Source organism: Homo sapiens, chromosome 19 (genome assembly GCF_000001405.40).
Source record: "Homo sapiens chromosome 19, GRCh38.p14 Primary Assembly".
Lineage (NCBI taxonomy): Eukaryota > Metazoa > Chordata > Mammalia > Primates > Hominidae > Homo > Homo sapiens.
The window spans coordinates 42640312-42665566 of NC_000019.10; the positions used below are offsets into that span (position 1 = coordinate 42640312).

Below are 25255 nucleotides of genomic sequence, written 5' to 3' on the forward strand. Positions count from 1 at the left end.
GATCACTCGCGGCTAGGAGCTGGAGACCAGCCCGGCCAACACAGAGAAACCCCGTCTCCACCAAAAAAATACGAAAACCAGTCAGGCGTGGTGGCGCGCGCCTGCAATCGCAGGCACTTGGCAGGCTGAGGCAGGAGAATCAGGCAGGGAGGTTGCAGTGAGCCGAGATGGCAGCAGTACAGTCCAGCTTCGGCTGGGCATCAGAGGGAGACCGTGGAAAGAGAGGGAGAGGGAGACCGTGGGGAGGTGGAGAGGCAGAGGGGGTGTTGCCATTTTTTATGTCATTGAATACCCTATGTTTAGCTCCCTCTTATCAGGTTATGGTTTTTAGATTTTTCTTCCGGTGTTAATTTGCTTAGGATAATGGTCTCCAGCTGTGAACATATTGCTGCAAAGGAATGATTTTTTTTTCTTTTTTAATGGGTGCCTAGTATTCCATGGTGTGTAGGTAGGGATTCCTTATCTAATCTACTCTTGATGGACACCTAGATTGATTTAATGACTCTTAGACATATGAACACAACTCAGCCTCCTATACACAGGAGAAATGAAATTTGAGGTCCAGGGACAGCAAATGTTAAAATACAACCTCAGCCTCAAATGTCCCCAAATACACATGTTTGATCACATAATGTGTGGGAGCAACTGAGGTGATAGCACCATCCCCTACTTTTCTTGGAAACATAAACATTGGTACACACCTTGTGGAGTAAAATTTCTAAATGCATGTCAAAATTTAAAATATATTTCTCTTTGCCTCCCAAACTTCACTGGGAAGAATTTATTACATTTGCAGTAATGAAAAATGACACCTAATCATAGTTATTCACTGTAGTGATGGTTTCACAGCAAAATATTGAGAAGAACCTAGATTTTACACCAGTATAATGCTAATTAAACAGGTTATTTTATATCTACACAATGGAATATGATACGGCTGTATAAAAAGTAGAAAATCTTTTGGCTATTCATATGGAAACACCTCCATGTTCTGTTCTGATTGTAGCATATAAACAACCTAAAATGTGATGCATTTTTTGAACTAGATCTTATCTTAAAATGTTATCTTTATTTATTTTTTCAGACAGGGTCTTGCTCTCCCACCCAGGCTGAATTTGCAGTGGTGTGATTATAGCTTACTGTGGCTTTGATTTCCTAGGCTGAAGTGATCCTCCCAACTCCCCCTTCTGAGTAGCTGGGACCACAGTATGTGCTATTATGCCCATATAATTTTGTGTTTTGTTTGTTTTTGTAGAGATAGGGTTTCACCATATTGCCCAGGCTCGTCTTGAACTCCTGGGCTCAAGTGATCCACCAGCGTTGGCCTCCCAAAATGCTGGAATTACAAGCTTGAGCCACTACATCTGGCCCTGCATTCTTTTTTTTATGGGACAGCAGTCTACTCACTCATTACTTTCCCTATCAGGGGAATTTTTTTTTTTTTTTTTTTTTTTTTTTGTTGAGACGGAGTTTTGCTCTGTCGCCCAGGCTGGTGTGTAGTGGCGCAATCTCGGCTCACTGCAAACTCTGCCTCCCAGGTTCACACCATTCTCCTGCCTCAGCCTCCCCAGCAGCTGGGACTACAGGTGCACACCGCCATGCCCAGCTAATTTTTTGTATTTTTAGTAGAGACGGGGTTTCACGGCGTTAGCCAGGATGGTCTCGATCTCCTGACCTCGTGATCCGCCTGTCTCAGCCTCCCAAAGTGCTGGGATTACAGGTGTGAGCCACTGTGCCCAGCCTCATCAGGGGATTTTTAACCTTTCCATTTCTCTACTGTGGGTCCATGCCAATGTCCAGATGTATTTATTTGTCTAGAATTGGATGTTCTTGTAAAAAGAGCGGTCGAAGGAATGGCCTCCTAGCTGATTTCCAGGATTCTAATCTTCATGGTCTAAGCTGTAGGTTTCCAAACATGGATACTGGTTAGAGTCACCATAAGGCATCTAAAACCTACCCATGCATGTGACTTCCCCTAAGAATGTCTGATTTGATTGGTGTGTGGTATGTCCTGGGCACTGGTTTTTAAAAAATGCTTCCAAGAAAAATGGTAATTTTGCAGTGGAGCAATCTTAGCCCAGTGCTCAAAATTAACATCCCCAGTAATCAGTGACATGGACATCTTAGGGCATCCTAATATGATGGATGAATAACGCGCAGCATCACCTCTGTGGTATTCTTGCCCAAAGTGCATAACCTGAGTTTAATTATGAGAAAAAATTAGAAAAGCCTAAACTGAGGGTTATTCTACAAAATAACTCGCCAATACTCTTCAAAAATGTTAAGGTCATGAACTCTAAAGAAATTTTCGGCACTATCCCAGATTAAAGGAGACTGAGAGGACAGAACAAAGAGATGCAATTTGTGATCCTAAATTGGATCATGGTCCAGAAAAAGGACATCAGTGGGAAGATAGGGAAGATTTGAATAAGGTCTATAGATTCATTAATTGTGCAGTGTCAGAGATCATTTATTATTTTGATGATTGGGTAGATATCTATAATGTTAATATTTGGGGAAGTTGAATGAAAAGCATTTGAGGACTCTGACTATTTTTGGGATATTTTTGAAAGTTTGAATGTATTTCAAAATAGAAAAAGGAAAAAAAGGAGAAGAAATCTTCCAGATATTTTCATCAAGTTGCCAGAGTTTAAGACCATTTCCCAAGTTATCTTGCCTAATTGTCAGAATAATCTTCCTGGGAATGTTGTTTATCATATTTGTGTCCTTTTCAAAGATTTCCAGTGACTTCTCTTATCTACAGGATGAAGTTCCCATTCCTTATCCTGCCATTCAAAGCCCTCATAGAATGGCCCCTTGATCAATCTACTTCTTTGATCTGCATTGAAGGACCACATTTTACTTTATCATGTCTAAACATTTTCCAATTCTTTTCCTTGTTAATATAGCACCCTTGCCTGTCTTCTCAGTCTCTTGAGTTGTTCTTTGTCCCAAGGCCCACTTCAGACTCTGTCTCTTCATTGAATCCTGTATGGTCATTTCTATTAGAAGCAGCTAACTTTCCACACTTTGAATTCTGGTAGATATAATGGTGTGGAGTGAAACGTGAGTTTTATTTTATTATTATTATATTTTAGAAAAAAAGCCAATTTAGTATGCTTATTAAAAGTTTTCCTTTTTTAGGGCAGGCATGATGGCTCACGCCTGTAATCCCAGCACTTTGGGAGGCCGAGGTGGGTGGATGACTTGAGGTCAGGTGTTTGAGACAAGCCTAGCCCACATGGTGGTACCCTGCCTCCACAAAAAAGTATAAAAATTAGCTGGGCATGGTGGTCCACACCTGTAATCCTAGCTACTCTGGAGGCTGAGGTAGGAGAATTGCTTGAACCCGGAAGACAGAGGTTGTAGGGAGCCAAGATCGTGCCACTACACTTCAGCCTGGGTGACACAGTGGGTGAGACTCCATCTCACAAAAAAAAAAAAAGGAAAAAAGGTTTCCTTTGTAAAAAAAATTTTTAAATTTTAATTGGAGAAGGATTAGAGATTAAATTGATGTTTGAATTTCATAGGGATTAAAAAAATTTTTATTTTAGGTTCAGGGTTACATGTGCAGGTTTGTTATGTAGGTAAACCCATGTCACAGGGATTTGATATACAGATTATTTCATCACTCAGGTACTAAGCCTAGTAACCAATAGTAATTTTTTTCTGCTCCTCTCCCTCCTTTCACCCTCCACCCTCTGGTAGCCTCCAGTGTCTGTTGTTTCCCTTTGTGTTCATGTATTCTCATCATTTAGCTCAGACATATAAGTGAGCATGTACTATTCGGCTTCTTTTCCCACATTAGTTTGCTAAGGTTAATATCCTGTAGCTCTATCCATGTTCCTGCAAAGGACATGATCTTATTCTTTTTTATGGCTGCATAGTATTCCATGGTGTATATGTACCACATATAAAAGTACAGTCTTTCATTGTTGGGCATTTAGGTTGATTCCATACCTTTTCTATTGTGAATAGTGTTGCAGTGAACATTTGTGTGCATGTGTCTTTATGGTAGAATAATTTATATTCCTCTGGGTATATACCAAGTAATGAGATTGCTGGGTCAAATGGTAGTTCTGTTTTTAACTATTTGAAGAATTGCCACACTGCTTCCCACAGTGGTTGAACTAGTTGAAATTCCCACCAACAGTGTATAAACGTTCCCTTTTCTCCACAACCTTGACAGCATGTTATCTTTTGCATTTTTTATAATAGACATTCTGACTGGTGTGAGATTGTATCTCATTGTGGTTTTGATGTGCATTTCTCTACTGATCAGTGATATTGGGCTTTTTTTCATATGCTGTTGGCCACATGTGTGTCTTTTTTGAGAAGTGTCTGTTCATATCTTTTGTCTACTTTCTACTGGTTGTTTTATTCTTTTTAATTTGTGTAAGTTCCTCATAGCTGATAGATATTAGACCTTTATCAGATGCAGTTTGCAAATAGTTTCTCCCATTCTGTACATTGTTTATTCTGTTGATAGTTTCTTTTGCTAAAAGCAGAAGTTTTAGATTCAGAAATAAGTGAGTCTGAGTTTTGTTTCCAATTTTTATCAGGTCTGATATAAGGGACAATTTATTGATGTCTTTGGATAGAAGGATAATAGTGCCTACTGAAAGGGTCATTGTGAACATTGGATGAGGTGCAAACATAAAGGTTCCCAGCACATAGTAGCTTCCTTCCTCATCATTTTTGTAGCCCAGTGGTCCCCAAATGTGTTGTGGGTGCTGTGAAGACTCTTATCAAATTTTTTTTGTAGAGCTTTTAAAAAATATTTGTACCTGGCCATCACTAAGATGACCTTGAACTGAACTGAGTGCTTAGGGCTTTAAGGAGTTCAATTGAGATTTGTTTTTCCAAGAACACAACAAACTAAATAAGTGATCTATGGACAGGAATGTAACCCAATGGAGGAAAAAGGGAAGGTCAATGGGATTCTAAATGAGAGATAGCTGTGATGCTTTCTGCACCCATTCCTTTGCTCTCAGTCAGACAGCGTTAAGGAAGTACAACTTTTAAAATTATGTAAGAGAAGACAAAAATCTCAGGACTTTCAAACTCATTACACCAAAGGGATAGTTCAGCCTGGAGACTGAGTCATGCAATGCTACCATCTTTTTACCCAGTGAACAACTGTTAATTTACAATCTTGTGTGAAAGCAGTGTTCAATAGCCAGACCCCTACAAGAAGACCTCAGGCATCTCTGGATGACTGTCCTCAAATTGTCCTTTGGTGACCTTGAAGCCTTTCAAGATGTATATCCATCCATAAAACAAAGACACATCAATTGTAACTTTAGGTGTGCAATCTAAGTCCAGCTTCTAAAATGAAAGCCTGTTAGATTTCACACTGATAATGCTTATCTTTCTAAGTACAGAAGAAAGACAAGATGAGACCAATTATTCTTTACTATACTTGTCCCTTCCTACCTGCCTTGCCCCCTTTAAGGAGATGTATAAATACCAGGCCTCCTAAAAACCTTTTTCAGAGAGAACTTAAGACATGGAGGGTTTCTATGATTTGTGTTTTTCCAGGGTGTGCCCTCAAGCTCTGGCTTAAGAAACCTCAATTGATTCAGACACTTGCCTCAGTCACTCATTATGGTTAACATTCTGGTGACCATTAAGGGATACTCTGAGTGGAGTTTTGCTCCCATGTTTTGTGTTATCAAAAATGTGGATATGGGGACATTTGAGGCCACAGAATTTTACTTTAACATTTGCTGTCCCAGGACATCAACTTCCGTTTCTCTTCTGTATAGGAGGGTGTTTTGTTCACAAGTCTCAGAGCTATTAAATCAACCCAGCTGTCCATCAACAGTGGATTAGATGATGAAATCCATACCTATGCTCCATGGAATACTAGGCAGCCATAAAAAAAGAAAAAAAATCATTTCCTTCCCAGTACTATGTTTGCAGCTGGAGGCCATTATCCTAAGCAAATAACAAAGGAAGAGAAAACCATAAACCATAACCTAGTAAGTGAGAACAAATATTGGATATTGAGGGACATAAAAATGGCAAAAAGAGAAGCTAGGAACTACTAGAGGGGAGAAGCAAGGAAGGGAGTAAGAAATGAAAAACTAAGTGTTGAGTGCTATGCGCAATATCTGGGTGAGAGGATTATTCATACCCCTAACCTCAGCATTATGCAGTATACCCAGGGGATAGGTGTGCACATGTAACCTCTGAATCTAAAATAAAAGTTGAAGAATAAAGAGAAAAGTTTTACAAGTTTACAGTCTCAAGAACTTTGTAATCAATGCTGTGAAACTACTTATATTTATTCAAAAGATCTACTTGGATGGAATTGATATCTTTAGAATACTTATTTTTTCGGATCCATGAGTATGGTATATTTCTCTATTTAGGCCTTCTTTAATGTCTGTTGATTGTTATAATTTTGTCTGAAGAGATTGCAGTGATTTTGGTCTTTGGTTGGATTGAGTCCTAAATATTTTATATTTTCTGACACTATTGTATTCCCTTTACACTATCTAGCTGCCTGTTTTTTCTATACAGAAATTAATATATTTTAGTCTATTCTTATAGTACTCAGCTCCCTAAACTCTCTTATTTCTACTTTTTTATTAGTCTTTAGGATTTTTCTATATAAACAATGCTATTCTCTGAAAATAATGACAGTTTTATTTCTACTTTTCCGACCTTTGTACCTCTTATTTGTCATTTATTTCTTACTGCTTTTGGGTAGGAACTCCAATACAGTGTTAAATAAAAGTTATCACTGAAAAAAATGAGAATGAACATTTTTTTCTGTGAACTATTATATATTTACCCTCTTTTCTGCTACATTTTGGTTATATTAATTTTATGTGTTCTTTATATATGAGCTTATTATCTGTTTATTATAATTGCAAGATATTATTTGCTTTTCTTACAGAGAATTTTTCCACATGAACACTCTTTTTGAAAGGTTCAGGTATATCAATATTTCTTTCTTGGCTACACAATGAGAAAGTCTTTCTTCACCTTGGGGTGGTTTAGTGGCTTTGATTTGGCTTCAATTTTTATCCATTTGGAACATGTCCAGTAATATGTTGTCCTGTTCAAGATGGTTACCAGTTATCCATCTAACACTGTGAATGTCCATGTTGTTCACAATAAGTCACTTAAAAGACTTTGTCAGTACTCTAGCAAAAATTCATAATCTCTACAAGAATATGCATTTGAACCACACAATCAACAGGCAGCAAGAATAGCACACTACGTCCATATGCCCTGCACCATAGATGTTCTCTTCAAGTCCACATGGAACATTTATGAAGACTGAACTAAGTCATATATTAGCAAATATTAATATTAATATAAATATTAATAGCATTGAATCATTTTTACCCAATCACCTATTTAGTATACTGTGCAATGTGGGTACTATTCTCTAAAACATGAATTTTAAATATTAGGCATTTGGAGATTTTAAAAGCACATGTCAATCAAGACACAGTGATGAACATTCAAATACTTGGTACTTGACTGACAGTTCATTTGCCAAAACTCGTAAGATGCAGCCACAGTGGAGCCCCAGGGAATTCATGACCCAAAAGGCTTATACTAGAAAAGATTGATTAAAGATGAGTTAATCCTCACCTTAAGAAGGGAGAGAAAAACAAAGCAAGGAGAATAAAACTTATAAGAAACCTAAAAGTAGAAAACAATAAGCTAGAAGACAAATTAAAAAAAAACAAGAACATGAATAGACCCAAAAATAATGTTGTTGAAAAAGATAAGTTATTTAAACTTCTGGACTAATTCATTAACAAAACAATAAAGAAAGAAAAAAGAAACAGATTTAGCAGTGAGAGAGAGTGGATGTAATCTCATCTGCGGCAGAAGTTGAAAGTTTCTTTTCAAAATTTCACAACACTAAGTTAATTGATAATTTAAACAAAATTGACAAGTTCCTAGAAAATTAGGTATAATAAAAAGTAGCACAGGAATAAATGGAAATTCTGACCTGTCCTATAACTATGTTTAAAAAAATTTCTTTTGTGTGTGTGACAGGGCCTCATTCCTGTTTCTCCAGTTGGAGTGTAGTGGTGCAATCATGGATCACTGCAACCTCAACCTCCCAGGCTCAAGTGATCCTACCACCTCAGCCTCATAAGGAGCTGGGACCACAGGTGCATGCCACCATGGCTGGCTATTTTTTTCTATTTTTAGTAGAGACAGGGATTCATCATACTGCCCAGGCTTGTCTGGACCTCTTAGGCTCAAGTTCTTCCTTGGCCTTTGAAAGTCCTGAGATTACAGGTGTGAGCCACCATACCCGGCCCCAATCTTGAAATTTTACTTAATATTTTAAATATTCACAAACATACACAAACACACATACATACATGTGGATACTCAGAAAAAGCAGATGACTTTGGGATGATGATGAATATTTCTACAGTGGAAAAAAATAAATCTACATCTGTAATTCACACCACATGCTAATCTTTTTTTTTTTTGAGATGGAGTCTTGCTCTGTCACCCAGTCTGGAGTGCAGTGGTGTGATCTCGGCTCACTGCAAGCTCTGCCTCCCAGGTTCACACCATTCTCCTGCCTCAGCCTCCTGAGTAGCTGGGACTACAGGTGCCCGCTACCATGCCCAGCTACTGTTTTTTGTATTTTTAGCAGAGACAGGGTTTCACTGTATTAGCCAGGATGGTCTCGATCTCCTGACCTCGTGATTCACCCGCCTCGGCCTCCCAAAGTGCTGGGATTACAGGCATGAGCCGCCGTGCCCAGCCGATAATCTTTTCACAATAAAATTATTGAGAATATTCTTCAAAAGGCTCCTAATTTTCTTCGTTTCTTCTACATACACAAGACATACAGAGACAGATCTGTGTATCTACTATACAACAAAGAAGCCATAGCCAAGGTACATATGAAAATCCAACAGAAACAGTAAGAGGAAGATTGATAACACAATGTTTTTAAATGGCGGAAAACTCTTAAGAGGCACCAGATGGTAGAACATGTGTAATGGCCTGTGAGTACATGAAAAGATGCATTTGCACTATTGTTTACTTAGGAAAAGCATATTAAAACCATTTTGAAATCTCATCCCAACCACAGAAGAAAGGCTAAAATTCAATGGGCTGACAATCCCAAGAGTTGGAACAACTCTACAGAGAGATGTTGCTGGTGGGAATTTAGATGTGTTCAGCTCTCTAACAAGAGAATCTATAATTTGTAGCTATCTTAGAAGATGTCCCAGCATATACAATGGTCTCTACACCCAAGGAAATAAATGAGACCACCAAAATACATGTGTAGATATGTCCACATTAACATGATTCAGAAGACACAAATAGTGTTGCAGTTTGAATGTGTAACACTACAGGGGATAAAACTGTGGTGCATTCAAACTAACGGATATTTACAACATGAAAAATAAATGGATTCCTGCTGCATAAATCATGGATGATCTCACACAAAGAGTTGCAAGAGAAGAGCCAGTGCAGAGGGGAAAATGAAGACTGATTCCACCTCTATAAAGTTCCCAAGAGGCAAAACCTATCTGTAGTGCTAGAGATCAGAATGGAGGTAACCTGGCACTTGGAATGGCTAGGTTTGGGGAGGGGAGGTCATGAAGCCTGTCACCTGGACACTCTGTGTGAGTACACGGGCAACACCCATTACATCTCCACACACAGCTCTGGTCATCAGGCATTTTTAGGGGGACTCTAGCAAGGGATTAGGAATCATGCATGAGAATCATCTACAGAGAGAAACATAGAGTTGGAGGAGCTGGTTGCTAACGCAGAGCAGGGTCCCTGTTGTTCACAGGTCTAGCCTAGTCTTAAGTTCCCAGCCCCACTCCCACTCCTGCCATGATCCAGGAACCTCTGAAAAGCAGCTTTTTCCAAGGACCTCCTCCTTGGTAACACATCAAGGTTTCTCACTGTCAAGCTGTCCAGAAAGAAAAGCAACTTGGATAGTGCCCATAACATCTGCGCCCTGGGGCTCAGGGCTCAGCAGAAATGGCAGAGGGCAGTGAGAGGAGACATGGTGAATGGGGTAGGGACCTAGGGACAGCTGCCTGGAACAGGAGCAGGTGGGGCCACAGGAGAAGGTGGCACAGGAAGGAATGGGCAGGAGAGGAGAGGAGAGGAGGAGACAGGCTCTGTGGGGCTATAGCCCAGTGTGAGCCTTTGTGAGGCTATCTCAGCAGGGAAGGCCAGGTGGTGTGAACAGGAGGAGAAGCAACTCCCACCTCCCCTGCTAGGAACTGAATGTGTACACTCCCAAATTTTGAAGGTTTCATTTTTAATGTGAAGGTGGTGGAGGTGGTGCCAGGCATGGTGGCTCACGCCTGTAATCCCAGCACTTTGGGAGGTCGAGGCAGGCAGATCACCTGAGGTCAGGAGTTCAAGACCAGCCTGGCCAACATGGCAAAACCCCATCTCTACTAAAAATACAAAAATTAGCTGAGTGTGGTGGCGGGTGCCTGTAATTCCAGCTACTTGGGAGGCTGAGGCAGGAGAAATGCTTGAACCTGGGAGGCTGATGTTGCAGTGAGCCGAGATTACGCTACTACGCTCCAGCCTGGGTGACACAGTGAGATTCCATCTCAAAAAAAAAAAAAAAATTTGGAGGTGGGGCCTTTGGGAGATAATTAGAATAAGAGTCAGTCATAAAGGTAGGAGCTTCATGATGGAATTAATGCCCCTATAAAAAGTGGAAGACACAGGAAAATGATCTCTCTCTCTCCTTTTTTCTGTCCCTCCACCCCCTCCCAACCCTCCACCATGTGCAGATACAGCAAGAAAGCAGCATCTGCAAGAAAGCCCTCACCAGGACCAAATCAGCTGACACCTCAACCTTGGACTACCCAGCTTCCCGAACTGTGAGGTATAGATTTTTATTGTTTAAGTCACCAAGGCTACGGTGTTTTTAATAGCAGCCCAAGCCCAGGAATACATCATCTGACTCACTATTTTGAATCAAACTCTTCAGTTTCTCCATCAACTTAGCTGGCAGCTCCTGTCCCCAGCAGCATCAGAGGCCCCATGAAAAGAGCTCCAGCAGGGGCTCAGCCTGCATGGGTCCCATGCGGCAGCCTCAGTGTCAGAGCCTGGATGGCAGGTGAGGCTCCAGTGACACAACCACAATGTGAAAGTGTAAGAGTTTTTAACTACTTATAGATACTGGAAAGCACAGGGCACACCTGGAGACCACAGACACTGGGGTCAGAGAGCCCAGGCAGGGAGGAGAGAAGGGAACTGTAGGCCAATGGCTTTATTGGGTCTAGGGTGTTATTGACAGGTTTCCAGAAGGGAGCTTTAATGGGTGTGTTTAAAGCAGGCAAACACTGGGGCAAGAAGATCACACTGTGACTGAGAGGTGGTCACTTTAAATTGGAGGGCGAATGTCACAACTGTTTCAGTTTAAAGGAAGCAGCTGGCGAGAGGGGAGCCCAGCACACTATGCAAGAGAGATGCCTCTAAGATTTTATCTGTGGCCACCGACTGGAGCCATTTGGACCGGGTACAGCAGTGGAAACTCTGTGATGGTGACAAACATGGGAATCACTCTGATGTGACGCAGTTAAATTTACACCTTAAAAAATGGATGCCAAGACAACATAAACAAGACCCAGGGACACCAACAGGGTATGGTGCTGTGCCCCAGAGTCAGGGTCCTGGGTTCTTACCCAGGGAAGTGAGAAATAAAGATAACTTTTCCCTGCTCCCTCTCTCCTCCCCTGACACTGATCTTCCCACCCTGTACCTCCCTCTTCTGCTCCCAAACCCCCACCCAGTGCTCAGTCGCAGACATCACTGCCTGCAGGGCATGCACAGTGCAGCCCATTGCACACAAACTACAAACTCACAGAAGGTGATGACAATTTGTGTTTGGGACGTCTGATTGTGAAAGAGGGAGGACAGCGTACTTGCAGCCACAGAGACTGAAACTGGAACGTGATGGAACGGGGCTGGAACGTGATGGAGCTCTGACATAACAGACGTGTGACTTTGTGTGAAATGTGCAGATCCATGTGGAATAAAACACAGCCTAGCCTGTGGCTGCTGCCGTCCACATTTCCCTCATCTTCCAACAGAAGTCAGCAGGGTCCCTCCCAGCCTGGAACCTCCCTAGAGACTGCTGACCTCCCTTGGCAGGGCCCACAGGCCAGCAGGGTCCGCCCTCACCAGGGTCACTTGGCCCATGTCCTCCTTGCTCCTCCAAGCTCCCCACCCAAGTCTGTCAGCTTTTCCCTGCAGCCCAGCGGCCACCCACCTGAGGCCACTCTCTCTGCAGGCAGCTCCTGCCCCCACACCCCATTTTTCCTGGGGCAGTGCTGGTGCATGTGATGCCACACTGGGCACTTTCCCATCGTGACCTCCTTCCATCCTCATCAACTCCTTCTGTGACTGCTCCCTAAATGCCTGCCCCTGCTCCATCTTTCCTGTTCTCTGGGGCATTCCAGGCTTCCAGAACAGCATCTGCCTGAGTGCCCACAGTACCAATGGGAATCAACCAGACACCCTGTAACCTGCCCTCTGCACCCTAGGAGGCTCAGAGCACATGTGACGGTCACACACAGGCACCATCTGGGATTTGTCCACCTGTCCCCTGCTGTCCCTCATGAAGTCAGGAGGGAGGACAGAGCTCTCCGGTGTGTATGGGGTGGGGAGTAAGCATGAGCTCCCTGGGTTAGAACACAACCCACCTTCACCCGCCCTCTTAGGTGTGAGCACCGTCCTCCCAGATGGGCTATCTGACCACTACCTGTGCTTCCTCTACACAAAGGGGCTTGACCAGGTCCAAATCCTCAGGACAGACCCCAGGAGATGTCAACATGAAAAGGGCTGAGCACATCCTGGCTTCAGAGTAAGTCGGGACTAGTGTCTCCAGCTCAGAGCCCCTGCTATGTCCCAAGCTACCTCTCCTAGGTCTCAGAGAGCTGTGTCCTACAGGGTCCCTGGGCAGCTCCCCACTCCTTGCTCTGCCAGCCATGGGGAAGGTGGGGTGACCACAGGACAATCAGCCATGCAGAGGACAGAGGACACCCAAGATGGTCAGGGAGGACATGGAGGAGCCTGAACCCCAGCTCAGCCACCAGACTCCAGGGAGCAAGAGAGTGGCTGAGACTTGTCCCTGGTGACCACGAGGTTCACAGCCCCCAGTGAATAACCAGCACAGGCCTCTCCTCCCAGGAGACATAAGAGATTAACCCTGTACACCTCCAGGAAGGACAGTTCCCTCTGGAACACTAGGGTCCTGAAAGTTTATCCTTGGAAGCTGCAGGAAGCTTGACACAATTAGAGAAAGGGAGGGTCCTTCTCGCTAGCCAGCACTCAGCTCACCCAAAGCACAGTAGGGGTGTCCTCGTGACAGGGTCCTGGTGCAGCCTGTCCTCCTGCTCTGAAGGGAAGAGACAGATGGGGATGGGAGAGGGCAGGGGGAGTGACTGTGCACCCCAACTTGGAGCCATGAAAATGGCTGAATGCTGAGGGTCCAGGGCTGGGCTCACCCAGCCTACAAAGTGTGTGTGACTGTGAGTGTCTGTGTCTCTGTGTGTGTGTGTGTGTGTCTTTGTGTGTGTGTGTGTGTCTGCACATAATGTGTGTAGAGGTTGGGTGAGAGAATCACTGGTGAAAGAGGCAGAGGACTCAGCAATTCTGAGAGGCTTGAAACACAGACAGAAGGGGAAGGGGAGGGAGGAAAAAGGGGGCAGGACTGAGAGGGGAGGGGACAGGGAGGTGTCCTGGGCACAGACCCCGCCCATGAGCCTGAGAAATGCTCCTGCCCTGGGAAGAGGCTCAGTGCAGAAGAAGGAAAACAGCACAGCTGACAGCTGTGTTCAGAAAGTTTCTGGATCCCATGCTCATCTCCACAAAGGAGGACAAGCAGGCAGCAGAGACCATGGTGATTTCCTCAGCTCCTCCCTGCAGATGGCATGTTTCCTGGCAGAGGCTCCTGCTCACAGGTAGGTGAAGGAAGGCCTTCCTGGGAGAGGACGGGAGGAGGAAGCACAGTGACTGGCTGGGGTCTCCTGGAAGGATGGGGCTCTGAGAGGGGACAGAGGGCTTCTGTTGGAGTCTGAATAGGTAAGAAGATACAGAAGAGGGACAGGGGTCAAAACAAAAAAAATCACATTGATCTGGAATAGGTAAGAAGCAGGAAAATCTCAAGTGTTTTATTTTCCTGGTTAATCTTCACTGGCCACTATATTTTGAAAAATGATATTAATAACTATGTCAGATGACACTTCACATAAAAACATAACCAGGGCATGAAACATTGTCCTCAGCCACCAACCCCAGAAATTGGAGCGTAAACCCCGGGATGTGTATAGCACTGGGAACGCTCATGAACTCATCCACAGGAGTCTACAGACTGTCCCAGGCACTGGGATGCAACCAAGATCACACAAGCCCCTGTCCTCACAGAGCTCACACTCTCCTGGGGAGGAAGACAGACATACAAAGAGATCTAGAATGTGAGGTTAGGTGTTGACAAGAGCTCTGGAGGGAGCAGAGCAGGGAAAGGTCAGAAAGGGAAGACCCAGGGTCTCTAGAAGAGGCTTCAGGGAAGAAGTCTCCCAAGGACATCCTGATGTGAGCAGGACCTGAGGGCAGTGGGGAGGGAGCCATGCAGACTCCTGGGGAAGAGGATTCCACACAGGGAAATGCCAAGGTCAGAGGTGTTGAAAAAATCAGGGTCATGCTTCTGACCTTGACCCAGTAGGATACACACACACTCTAAGGTGGAGGGTTGAAGAGACCTTCTCAACACCCAGGGTCCCATCTTTTGATACCAATAGATAGGTCCCCAAATTGTCTGATGCTCTCTCCCCTTCCTAGCCTTACTTTGAATTTTCTGAAACCTGCCTACCACTGCCCATGTCACTGTTGAAGCCCTGCTGTCTGATGCTGCAGAGGGGCAGGAAGTTGTTCTACTTGTTTATCATCTGCCCCAGGATTGTCTTGGCTACAACTGGTACAAAGGGGACCAAGTGGCTGCCAACCACCAAATTATAGGATATGTAATCGACACTTAAGTAACTACCCCAGGGCCTGCATACAGTGATCAGGAGACGATAAACTTCTATGCATGCCTGCTGATCCATAACGTGACCCAAAATGACACAGGATTCTACACCCTTGAAGTTATAAAGCTAAATCTTATGAATGAAGAAATAACCATACAATTCAGCTTACGCCGTGAGTGATTCCTTATGTCCTCTGGGTGTTGGGGTTCAGTTCTACCTCACACACACAGGATTGTCAGGCCTGAGCTGTGCCTTATTTCCCTCTGCATTATGTCTCATTTTAGGGTTTGGACATTAGTGCAGGACACACAGAGGGGAGACAGACTTCAGCAGATCAGAATTCCTTTCCTGCATCCAGATCCTGGAGACATTCACTGTACAGAAAGGACAGTCTGATGTGGGGACTCAGCCGGAGATCAGTCTCAGCCAAGCACCTCATGCCTCCCCCATGGACCTGACTCTGAGAAAGACCCTGGAGCTGGGCCAAGGCCTGGCCTGAGGGACACCCTGGGATTCTCTTAGAGAAGCTCAGCCCTGAAGGCCCCAGCTCCAGACTTGTGTCTCAGGATCCTGACTCCACGTGACCCTGGGGAGCCTGTGCCAGGCCTGGGTTGTAGCTTCCTGGGCAAGGCTTACTGGAAGCAAATATTTACCAGCTGTCCACAGGCTGTGGCTCCTAGAGCTGCTTACCAGCTATGGTTTAGCTCCAGAGCCTCATCTGGGCAAGGACAGAGCCTTCTCCACCTGAGACTCAGAGTACAGAGGACAGAGGGACAAGCTTCTTAGTCCATCAGCCAGCTGCCCTGGGAAGCTTAGTAGACTCCATAGAAAGTTCAGTGTCCCCAGGGACAGAAACAGAAGAGAGAAGATGTTCCTAGCATCCCTTGTTCACAGGGATCAGGCCTATGGGTAGCCTCTCATGGAGGCAAATAATAACAAATGCTGTTTGTATGAACACTTCTTCTGTGCCAAGCATTAGGTCAGATGACTGTGAATGATTTAAAGTTCATTCACCAACAACATAGCAAGCCATACACCACTTGCCATTTAGCTTATTTGACTGAGAGAAAACTAAGCCACAGGGAGACACAGTCACCGAACCAGAGTCACACAAACATGAGGGGCAGATCAGAGTCACATGACCCTCTCCTCCAGCAGAAGTGGGGGCTTATTGGTTTCCAGGAACCCCCACCGTCATCCATTGGCTCACATCCTTTCTTCTTTGGCATCCAAACCTCAGAGGAGTGAGAGTAAATGGACAACCGATTAGTCTGTACTCCAGAACTAAATCACCTGCTTCAGCTATCAGAGTCAGTGCGAGGAATGTCCAGACTTCCTCCTCAGATCCTAATCTCCCTTACTGCACCTGAAATCCTGTGTTTTTCAGAGTGTCAGTGTCACTCTCATGGGAGGCTAAAGGAGAAGACTTTGCTTTCTCTCCCCATTCACACCCTGTGCCAGCACAGGCCCAACGTGAGACACACACTCTAGTTCTTGTATGAAGGATAGAGGGATTGAATGAAGTATCCATAACCTCTTTAGAGACTGGATCCTGGATGCAGAATCCTAATATAATAGAAATTGCTGGCCGTACCCATTCCCTGTTTCTCAGGGGCTGAGACCCATGTTCCATCCCTCTGAACCCCTGCCCCTAAAGCCATCCCACCTCCTGTGACTCTGGAGTTCCTTGGCCATGGGAGGGTTTTCAGGGCTCCCTGGTCCTGGTCTGGAGCACTAGGTGCACCTGGTCCCTGGAGTCACTAAGGTCATTGTAACCCCCACTGCTCACTGACATGGGTGTTTCTGGCTCTCTCTGCTCCTCTGTGTCTCTCATCTTCTTTCTCCTTAATTTTAGCTGCCATGCCCTGTCCTGCACAGCCTCCTCTACCCTTGGGACTCCCCCCGACATTCCCTCTAAAAAGGCTGATTGTTCTGTTTCCCTTCCTGCTTACACCGTGGCCTGGCTCAGCTCCCAGGAAATAGGAAAGGCACATAAATTCAGCTGGATCTGCAGGCCCTGCTAGGCTCCATCATGAACCAGTGTCCCCAGGTCACCAGGAGAATGAGCTTCCATTGAGTCCCCATCCAGGGCTCTTTCCGTTTATGAGGCCAACATGTGGAACAGGCCACTAGACAGGGATGAACAGCTCCTCTATCGACTCTTATAATCACCTGACAAGTTCTTCTTGCCCGACTGCACAGACAAAACCAATTTATTGAGATGGTGATTTGTAGAAAAGGAAGATTTTAATTACTCTGTTTGCCAAGCAGGAGGACAGAGGTTATTATGACTCAAATCAGCCTCCCCAGTTGCTCAGAGGTTATAGTTTTTCAAGCATAGTTTCAGTGGCAGAGGTCTAAGGAATGGGTACTGCTGATTGCTCAGGTATGAAATCATGAGGATGGGGAAAATGGCCTGTATTTTCTGAATCCACCTCTGAGTGGAGGCCACATGACTGGTTGAGCCATTAGTCATGGGTCTGGATGAGGTCAGCTGGTTTCCAGGATGCAAAAGTCTGAGAAACATCTCAAAAGATAAATCTCAGTTTCTACGATAGTGATGTTTTCTATAGGAGCAATTAGGGGAGTCACAAATCTTGTGACCTCTGTACACATGAGTCCTGAGCAGTAAGGGATTGCAGAAACTGCCTACAGTTTAGCAGAATTTGGGCTGCTCCTGTAATCCTAATCTCATGGTCTTTCATTAGTTTTAGAAAGCCAGTCCCTGAGCAAGGAGGGAGTTAGTTTTAGAAAGGGACTATTATCATCCTTGCTTCAATGTTAACCTATAAACTAAATTCCTTCCAGTGTTAGCCTGGCTTATTTCCAGGAATGAGCAAACACATCCAGTCAGGATAGAGGCCAGATGGAGTCAGCCATGCTAGCTTGCTCCCACTGTCCTAATCTTTGCAAAGGTGATTTCACTCTCTACATTGACTCAGCAGGGGGGTCAGAGGCAGGGGTACAGGTCTGCAGTCCCCAAAGCCCACGGGCTCCTTTCATCCATTTCACTTATGACTCCATCCTCATCCTGCTAGCTGTGAGGCTCACATCCTCCAGTCATTTCCTAGAGACTTCTGGTTTCCTGTCAGGCCTATAGCAAGCTTGAAATTTGTCACTCAGTTCTAACAACAAGTAAAAAGCTGAACAAACTCAAAAATCAACAACTCTTTTAGATCCCACAGAGAAGTGAGGTCTCAATGCTAACTGACCCATATATTGAAGAGACCAACAGGCAAAGACAGACAACACACTTTACCTGAGCAGAAACCCCTGGCACAGAAACCTCAGTGGGAACCAGTACTGGGGTCAGAAAAACCTGAACTGTCACTAATGAATTGCTGGAGGGTCAGTGTGAACAAGATCCAGAGTTAAACACTCAGGGGAATGGATTACTTCTGGGGGTAGGGGGACATGTTTGTGACTCTTAGCTTCTGGAGCACTACCAGGTTCCTATAGTAATACCCAGTAAAAATCAGCTCATCCTTCCTGCAGGGGAAGGGGAAAAGAAACCACTTTGAAAGATGCCAGTGAATTCTATTCTGGGCAAGACCTGCCTTTAAGAGAAACTATTTTACCAGAGTCTAATCAGCTGGGGTTTGATAGGAGCCTTAAATGCCCTGGGGAAGGGGAAATAGCCAACTCTAGCCCCCTGTAGCCATCATGTCCCACCTAAGGGAAAGAAAAAACTGAGAGGCACTTACAGCATTCACAGCCCAGGACACAGCTCTAATGCAATACCACAGAACCCTTCCCTCCATGGCATCACTGAATGCCTCACTCACCACAGCATCACTGAATGCCTGCTCACCCAAGTTTCTTTTACCCAGTACATCATGTCTGATTTGCAAAAAAACCATACAAGGCAGACTAAGAGGCAACATTAGACACTATGCAGAAACAGATGGGTGACATAAGTAGAGAGATGGATATTCTAAGAAAGAACCAAGAGAAGTGCTAGAGATAAAAAACACTGTAAGAGAAATGAAAAATGCCCTTGATAAGCTTTTGAAAGTGTGTATACTGGTAGGCTTAACACAGCTGAGGAAAAGATCTTTAGCTTTATGGTGTGTTAATAGAAACTTCAAAAACTGAAACAGTAAAGTTTAAAAAGAGTGACAAAAAAGTGGAAGAACATATTCAAGTTCATACTGAATATTTTGTATTGACAATAGCATATTTTATGTTTTGTAGTTGTGGGACAACTACAAAGGCTGTAACATACACATAATGGGAATACTGGGACCAGGCAGAGGTGGCCAGGTGGGTGCTATCTGATGGGCTTACTGCCTGTTTCACACACATCTGTGTCCTCATCGTGATGCCATTGCCATAAGGTGGGGTCTTTCAGGTGGGGAGATGCACAAGCCACTGGCATCTTACTTAGACTCTGCCCAGTTTAAACGAACTTAAACTCTAGTTGTGTTTCCTGAGGTCTAGGGAAAATGAGGAAAGCATTTCACATGCCTGTTTCAGGCTCTTCCCCATTTTTCCTAAGTCTGCACAGGAATTAGGGATAGGGAGGTCTTTCTAAATTTGCTAATATAACACACATTGCTTCTCCTAATTCGGCATCTTTCCTCCCTTTATGTATTGTAATTGACACACATAAGACTTCTTCTTTGACTGGTACTGTCCTCCTAACAGGAACCATGAGCCTCTCTCTATTCAGGGAGTTGCTAATTTCAAACCACCTTCAGCATCTTCCTTTGAGCATAATGCCATCCTGCTGGAATTCACAGCACACCTTAACCTTATTTTGGTATCTAGAGAAATACTACTTCCATCAATCGAACTTAGATATTTGCACTATTAATAACAATTTCTACTTATGGAAAAAATTTAATGTTTCCTCCAATTTTTTTTTGTTACTATAGTCAGAACATAACATGAGTTCTAAACTCCGGACAAAATTTTAAGGGCAGATTACAGTATTACACATGGAGCTCCCCAAATTCAAAAATCCAAAATCTGCAATACTCCAAAATTCAACATTTATCAGCTGCTGATGTAATGCTCCAAAGAAATTCTCACTGGAACACTTTGAATTTTAAAATGTTCAGATTCAGGATGCTAAACCAGTAAGCATACTACAAATATTCACAAATCTAAAAAAGTTAGAAACCCGAAACACATTTGGTCTTAAGCCTTATGCATAAGAACTACTCAGTCTTAATGAACTGTAGGAACCAAGCTGTACAGCAGATCTCTAGAACCTCCTCATCTTGCATAACTAAAACTGCATATCCATTGAAAAACTCCCTATTCACTTCAGTCCCAGCTCCTGGCACCCACCATTCTACTCTCTGATTCACTCTGGAATCCACTTATATGAGGTCCCTAGAGTAGTCAAACTCATGAAATCTGAGTGTAGAATGTCCAACAGGAGAAAATATTTGCAAAACTTCCTCCCAAATTTCTGTCTCATATTCCATCAAACACACATGGTCCATGAGGACCAGATTTCCAACAGTTCATGTTCCCTGTCTCCACCAGTCAGTTCTGCATTTGCAAACATCCACATGTATTTCTAGAAAGATCCACATGGTCCTCACCTGCCCTCTGCAAAGGGAGAGGGAACATCAAAAACCCAGGAGGGGGAATATGTTTCTGCTCCAAAGCCACCAGCTTTTGCTTGTCCTCTTCACTCTTTCTAGATCATTCTTTAGACTCTGCTCTATCTTCAGAGGTCACTGGTTCAAGTCATTCACCATGAAATATTTGGTGAAAATTGTTCCACCTAGTGGCTCCACTGCCTGATGACTGAATTGGCCTCCAGGCTTGCCCCTGGTCTCTTCTGTGTTAATTCTACTAAAACATCCAGTCCCAGGCTAAGGACAGTGAAAAGTCCCATTGTCACCCATCTCTAAGATGCTCTTGGAAAGGGAAGCCACAGAGAAAACAACTGGGTGGTGGTGGGTGGGGGTGGGGGGCAAAGTAGGACTGTGAAGCTGGAAGGAGCACAGCACCTGCACATTCCAGGTGTGGATACCAAGGTGGGCCAGGCAGGCAGCAAGTCAGGGAGGGACCAGGAGAGGCACCAGGAGCGGTGACTTCTGCTTTTGTGTTTATCCATGACCCAGTGCTGCTGCTCAATTTATACTTGAGAAAGCCTGTGCTTCTCTAAGACAGAGCAGGCAGACTCATGGTCTCTGAGCCCTCAGATCATCATGCATCTGTCTTGTGACACACACACCTGCCATGGGTTTTTAAAGAGTTGGGTGGGCTGAGAGGTGGGAGATGCCAACTCTGATTGAAAGATGCCCATGGGGGAATCAAAGGTGCCACGCAGGGCAATCTTCTGTTATCTGCACAGCAGAGCTGTCCAAGCCCTCCGTCACCAGCAACAACTCCAACCCCATGGAGGACAAGGATGCTGTGGCCTTAACTTGTGAACCTGAGACCCAGGGCACAACCTACCTGTGGTGGGTAAATGGTCAGAGCCTCCCGGCCAGTTCCAGGCTGCAGCTGTCCAATAACAACAGGACCCTCACTGTACTCAATGTCACAAGGAATTACACAGGACCCTATAAGTGTGAAATCTGGAATCGAGTGAGTGTCAGTCACAGTTACCCTGTCACCCTGGATGTCCTCTGTAGCCCAGGCTGCCAACCCAAATTGACATGGCCAGAATCCAGGCCTCTCAGTCCTTCTCAGGTCCAAGAACAGAGACTCTCAGCCCTGGATATCAAAGCTGTCCATGACTGCCTGCCCCAGGCAAATTTTGGTAGGCCCAGCCTTAACCAAGAATAAGAGAGGAATGGGATGCTCCTGTCACAGGAGACTTGAGGTCCCCAGTTTGTGATGGGGAAACAGGTGGATGTCTCAGACTCCAGCTCAGTGGACACAGCAGGAGTTTGGTTGGGACTTAAGGATTCTTCTTCTTTGGCTCAGAGGGACACTGTGGCCTTTCTACAGACCAGGAGTATTCTTGGCTTATCAATGAAAAGCTCCAGCAATACACACAAGAGCTCTTTATCCCCAAAATCACTGCAAAGAATAGCGGGGTCTATGCTTGTTTTGTCCGTAACTCAGCCACTGACCTCAGTAAGTTCACAGTCAAGAGGATCACAGTCTCTGATAAGTGGATCTCTGCATCATTGGCAATATGTTTTTGGGTGGAGTCTATCTGGCTTTTAGAGATCAGTGAGGAAAAATATTTTATTCTCAGTCAATGTCCAATGGACAAAAGGAAATCCCAAATTTTTCTCTTGGACCCTCCCGATGCATCTATATGACTCCCTGCCCCTTGTTTTTCTTTCTCATGGCTGCCCTTGGGTCCAGCCTGAGAAATATGTCGAGGGGGCTTTGTCAGCCCCAGAGCACTTCACTGAGGGGGAAGGAGGAGGATTCTCAAGGCCACGTTGCTTCTCTCTATTACCAACACATTTTTTTTTCTGTTACCTCTTTGTTTTCTTTTACCTACTCCTTGAGCTACAAGGAACATCTGAAGCTTTGAAACAAGCTCACACTTTTTCCCAAATGAGAGGAGGACGCCCCTTGGATGAGGAAGAAGCAGCTCAGACTCTGCTCTCTGCTCTGCTTCAGGCTCACTTGGTGACTGGCCCTGCCCTGACTCCACCTGGTGTGAGAACAGGGTGGTGGAAAAGGTGCCTGGGTGGCCTGTCCCGAATCTGGCTAAATCTAGCTGCCAGCAGAAGCAAAGCCTCCCCCAGGTTAGGCTGCAGGGAAATGGGAAGAGAGGGAGCCTCAGGGCAGACTCCTGAGCTGTGTCCTGGCTCTGAAGTCACTGGCTGTATGAGGCTGTGGGCACAGCACATGGGACACAGCACAGAGGACAGTGAGTGATATGCAATGGAAACATTTGGAGATTAACCCTTGGGGGCAGGGAAGGGGCAGTGTCAAAAAGTGTGTATTTGTAGAGAGGGTAAGGCTACCAGGCACCATATATATATATATATATATATATATATATATATATATATATATATATATATATATATATATATATATATATATATATATATATATATATATATATATATATATATATATATATATATATATATATATATATATATATATATATATATATATATATATATATATATATATATATATATATATATATATATATATATATATATATATATATATATATATATATATATATATATATATATATATATATATATATATATATATATATATATATATATATATATATATATATATATATATATATATATATATATATATATATATATATATATATATATATATATATATATATATATATATATATATATATATATATATATATATATATATATATATATATATATATATATATATATATATATATATATATATATATATATATATATATATATATATATATATATATATATATATATATATATATATATATATATATATATAAAATAAGTCTTACCGTTAACTATTTCTAAGCGTGCAATTTAGTGTTGTGTAACCGTTATCACTATCCATTTCCAGAACTTTTTCATCTTACCATACTAAACCTCTGTACTCAATACATGATAACTCTCACTCCTTCCCCCACAACCCTTACTACTCACCATTCTACTTTCTGTGTCTGAGTGATTGACTATTCTAACTATCTTACATAAATGGGATTATATAATAGTTGTCCTTTGGTGTCTGGCTTTTTTCACTTAGCATCATGTCTTCAAGGTTCATTCATTTTGCACCTTGTATTGGAATTTTATTCCTTGTTAAGATTGAATAACATTGCAATGTGTGGATACACCTCATTTTTCTATCCACTTATCTTTCAATAAACTTTTCAGTTGTTTCCACCATTTTGGCTATTGTGAGTAATGCTGTTGTGAATGGCAGTGCATAAATATCTAATCAGATTTCTTTCCATTGTTTTGGGTGTATGTCCAGAAGTGGGATTGCTGGATCAAATGGTAATTCTTTGTTTAATTTTTTGGGAAATAGCCATACCATTTTCCACAGCAGCTATAGCATTTCCCATTTCCATCAGCAATGCACTACAGCTCCAATTTTTCCACTTACTTGAAGATACTTTTTGCTTTGTGCTGTTGTTGTTTTTATCAAAGCTATCCTAAAGTGTGTGAGGTGGAGTATACTTGTGGTTTTGATTTGCATATCTCTAAGTATTAGTGATGTCGAGCATCTCTACATGTGCTTATTGGTTATTTGTATATCTTCCTTGGAGAAATCTCTATTTTAGTCCTTTATTCATTTTTTAATTTTTTTTTTGGATTTGTGCTGTTGTTGATTTGTAATAGTTCTTCATATATTCTGGAAATTAATCCCTTATCAGATATATAATTTGCAAATATTTTTCCCATTTCATAGGTTGCCTTTTCACTTTTCTCAATAATGTTTTTTGAAATTCGAAAGTTTTGGCCGGGTGCGGTGGCTCACGCCTGTAATCCCAGCACTTTGGGAGGCCGAGGTGGGTGGATCACGAGGTCAGGAGATCAAGACCATCCTGGCTAACACGGTGAAACCCCGTCTCTACTAAAAATACAAAAAAAATTAGCCGGGCTTTGGTGGAGGGCGCCTGTAGTCCCAGCTACTTGGGAGGCTGAGGCAGGAGAATGGCATGAACCCAGGAGGCGGAGCTTGCAGTGAGCGGAGATCGCACCATTGCACTCCAACCTGGCGACAGAGCGAGACTCTGTCTCGGAAAAAAAAAAAAGAAATTTGAAAGATTTTAGCTTTTATGAAGTACAATTTATGCATTTTCTTTTGTTGCCTATGTTTCTGTTGTTATAACCAATATATCATTGTGAAATCCAATGTCATGAAGCTTCTTTTCTTTGTTTTCTTCTAAGAGTTTGGTAGTTTTCAGTCTTCCATTTAGGTCCTTGATCCATTGTGGATTAATTTTTGTATACAGTGTTAGGTAAAGGTTCAATTCATTTTTGTCCATGGATATCCAGCTTTCCCAATATTATTTTTTGAAAAGACTGTCCTTTCCCCATTGAATGGTCCTGGCACACTTGTTGATAATCATTTGGCTATATATGCAAGCATTTCTTTCTGAGCTCTCTATTCTATGCCATTGGTTTCTATGTCCTCCTTTATGCCAGTAGCACACTGTATTGATTACTGTGGCTTTGCTGAAATAAGGAAGTGTGAGACTTCCAGCTTTGTTCTTTCTTTTTAAGGTTGCTTGGTTATTTAGGGTCCTGAGATTCCATATAAATTTTAGGATAGATTTTTCTATTTCTGCCAAAAATGTCACTAAAATTCTGGTG

At 43.2% G+C, this 25255-nt stretch overlaps 1 long non-coding RNA gene and 1 pseudogene across 2 annotated transcripts in view; both read left to right on the forward strand.

Moving 5' to 3' along the window:
- Positions 1–12044, forward strand: part of LIPE-AS1 (LIPE antisense RNA 1) — a 255208-nt gene extending 243164 nt beyond the window's left edge. For both annotated transcript variants that reach the window (NR_073180.1, NR_073179.1), the window contains one exon: positions 10776–12044. This is a non-coding gene — a long non-coding RNA (LIPE antisense RNA 1). The remainder of the gene's footprint in view (positions 1–10775) is intronic.
- Positions 13841–22706, forward strand: CEACAMP5 (CEA cell adhesion molecule pseudogene 5; annotated as a pseudogene).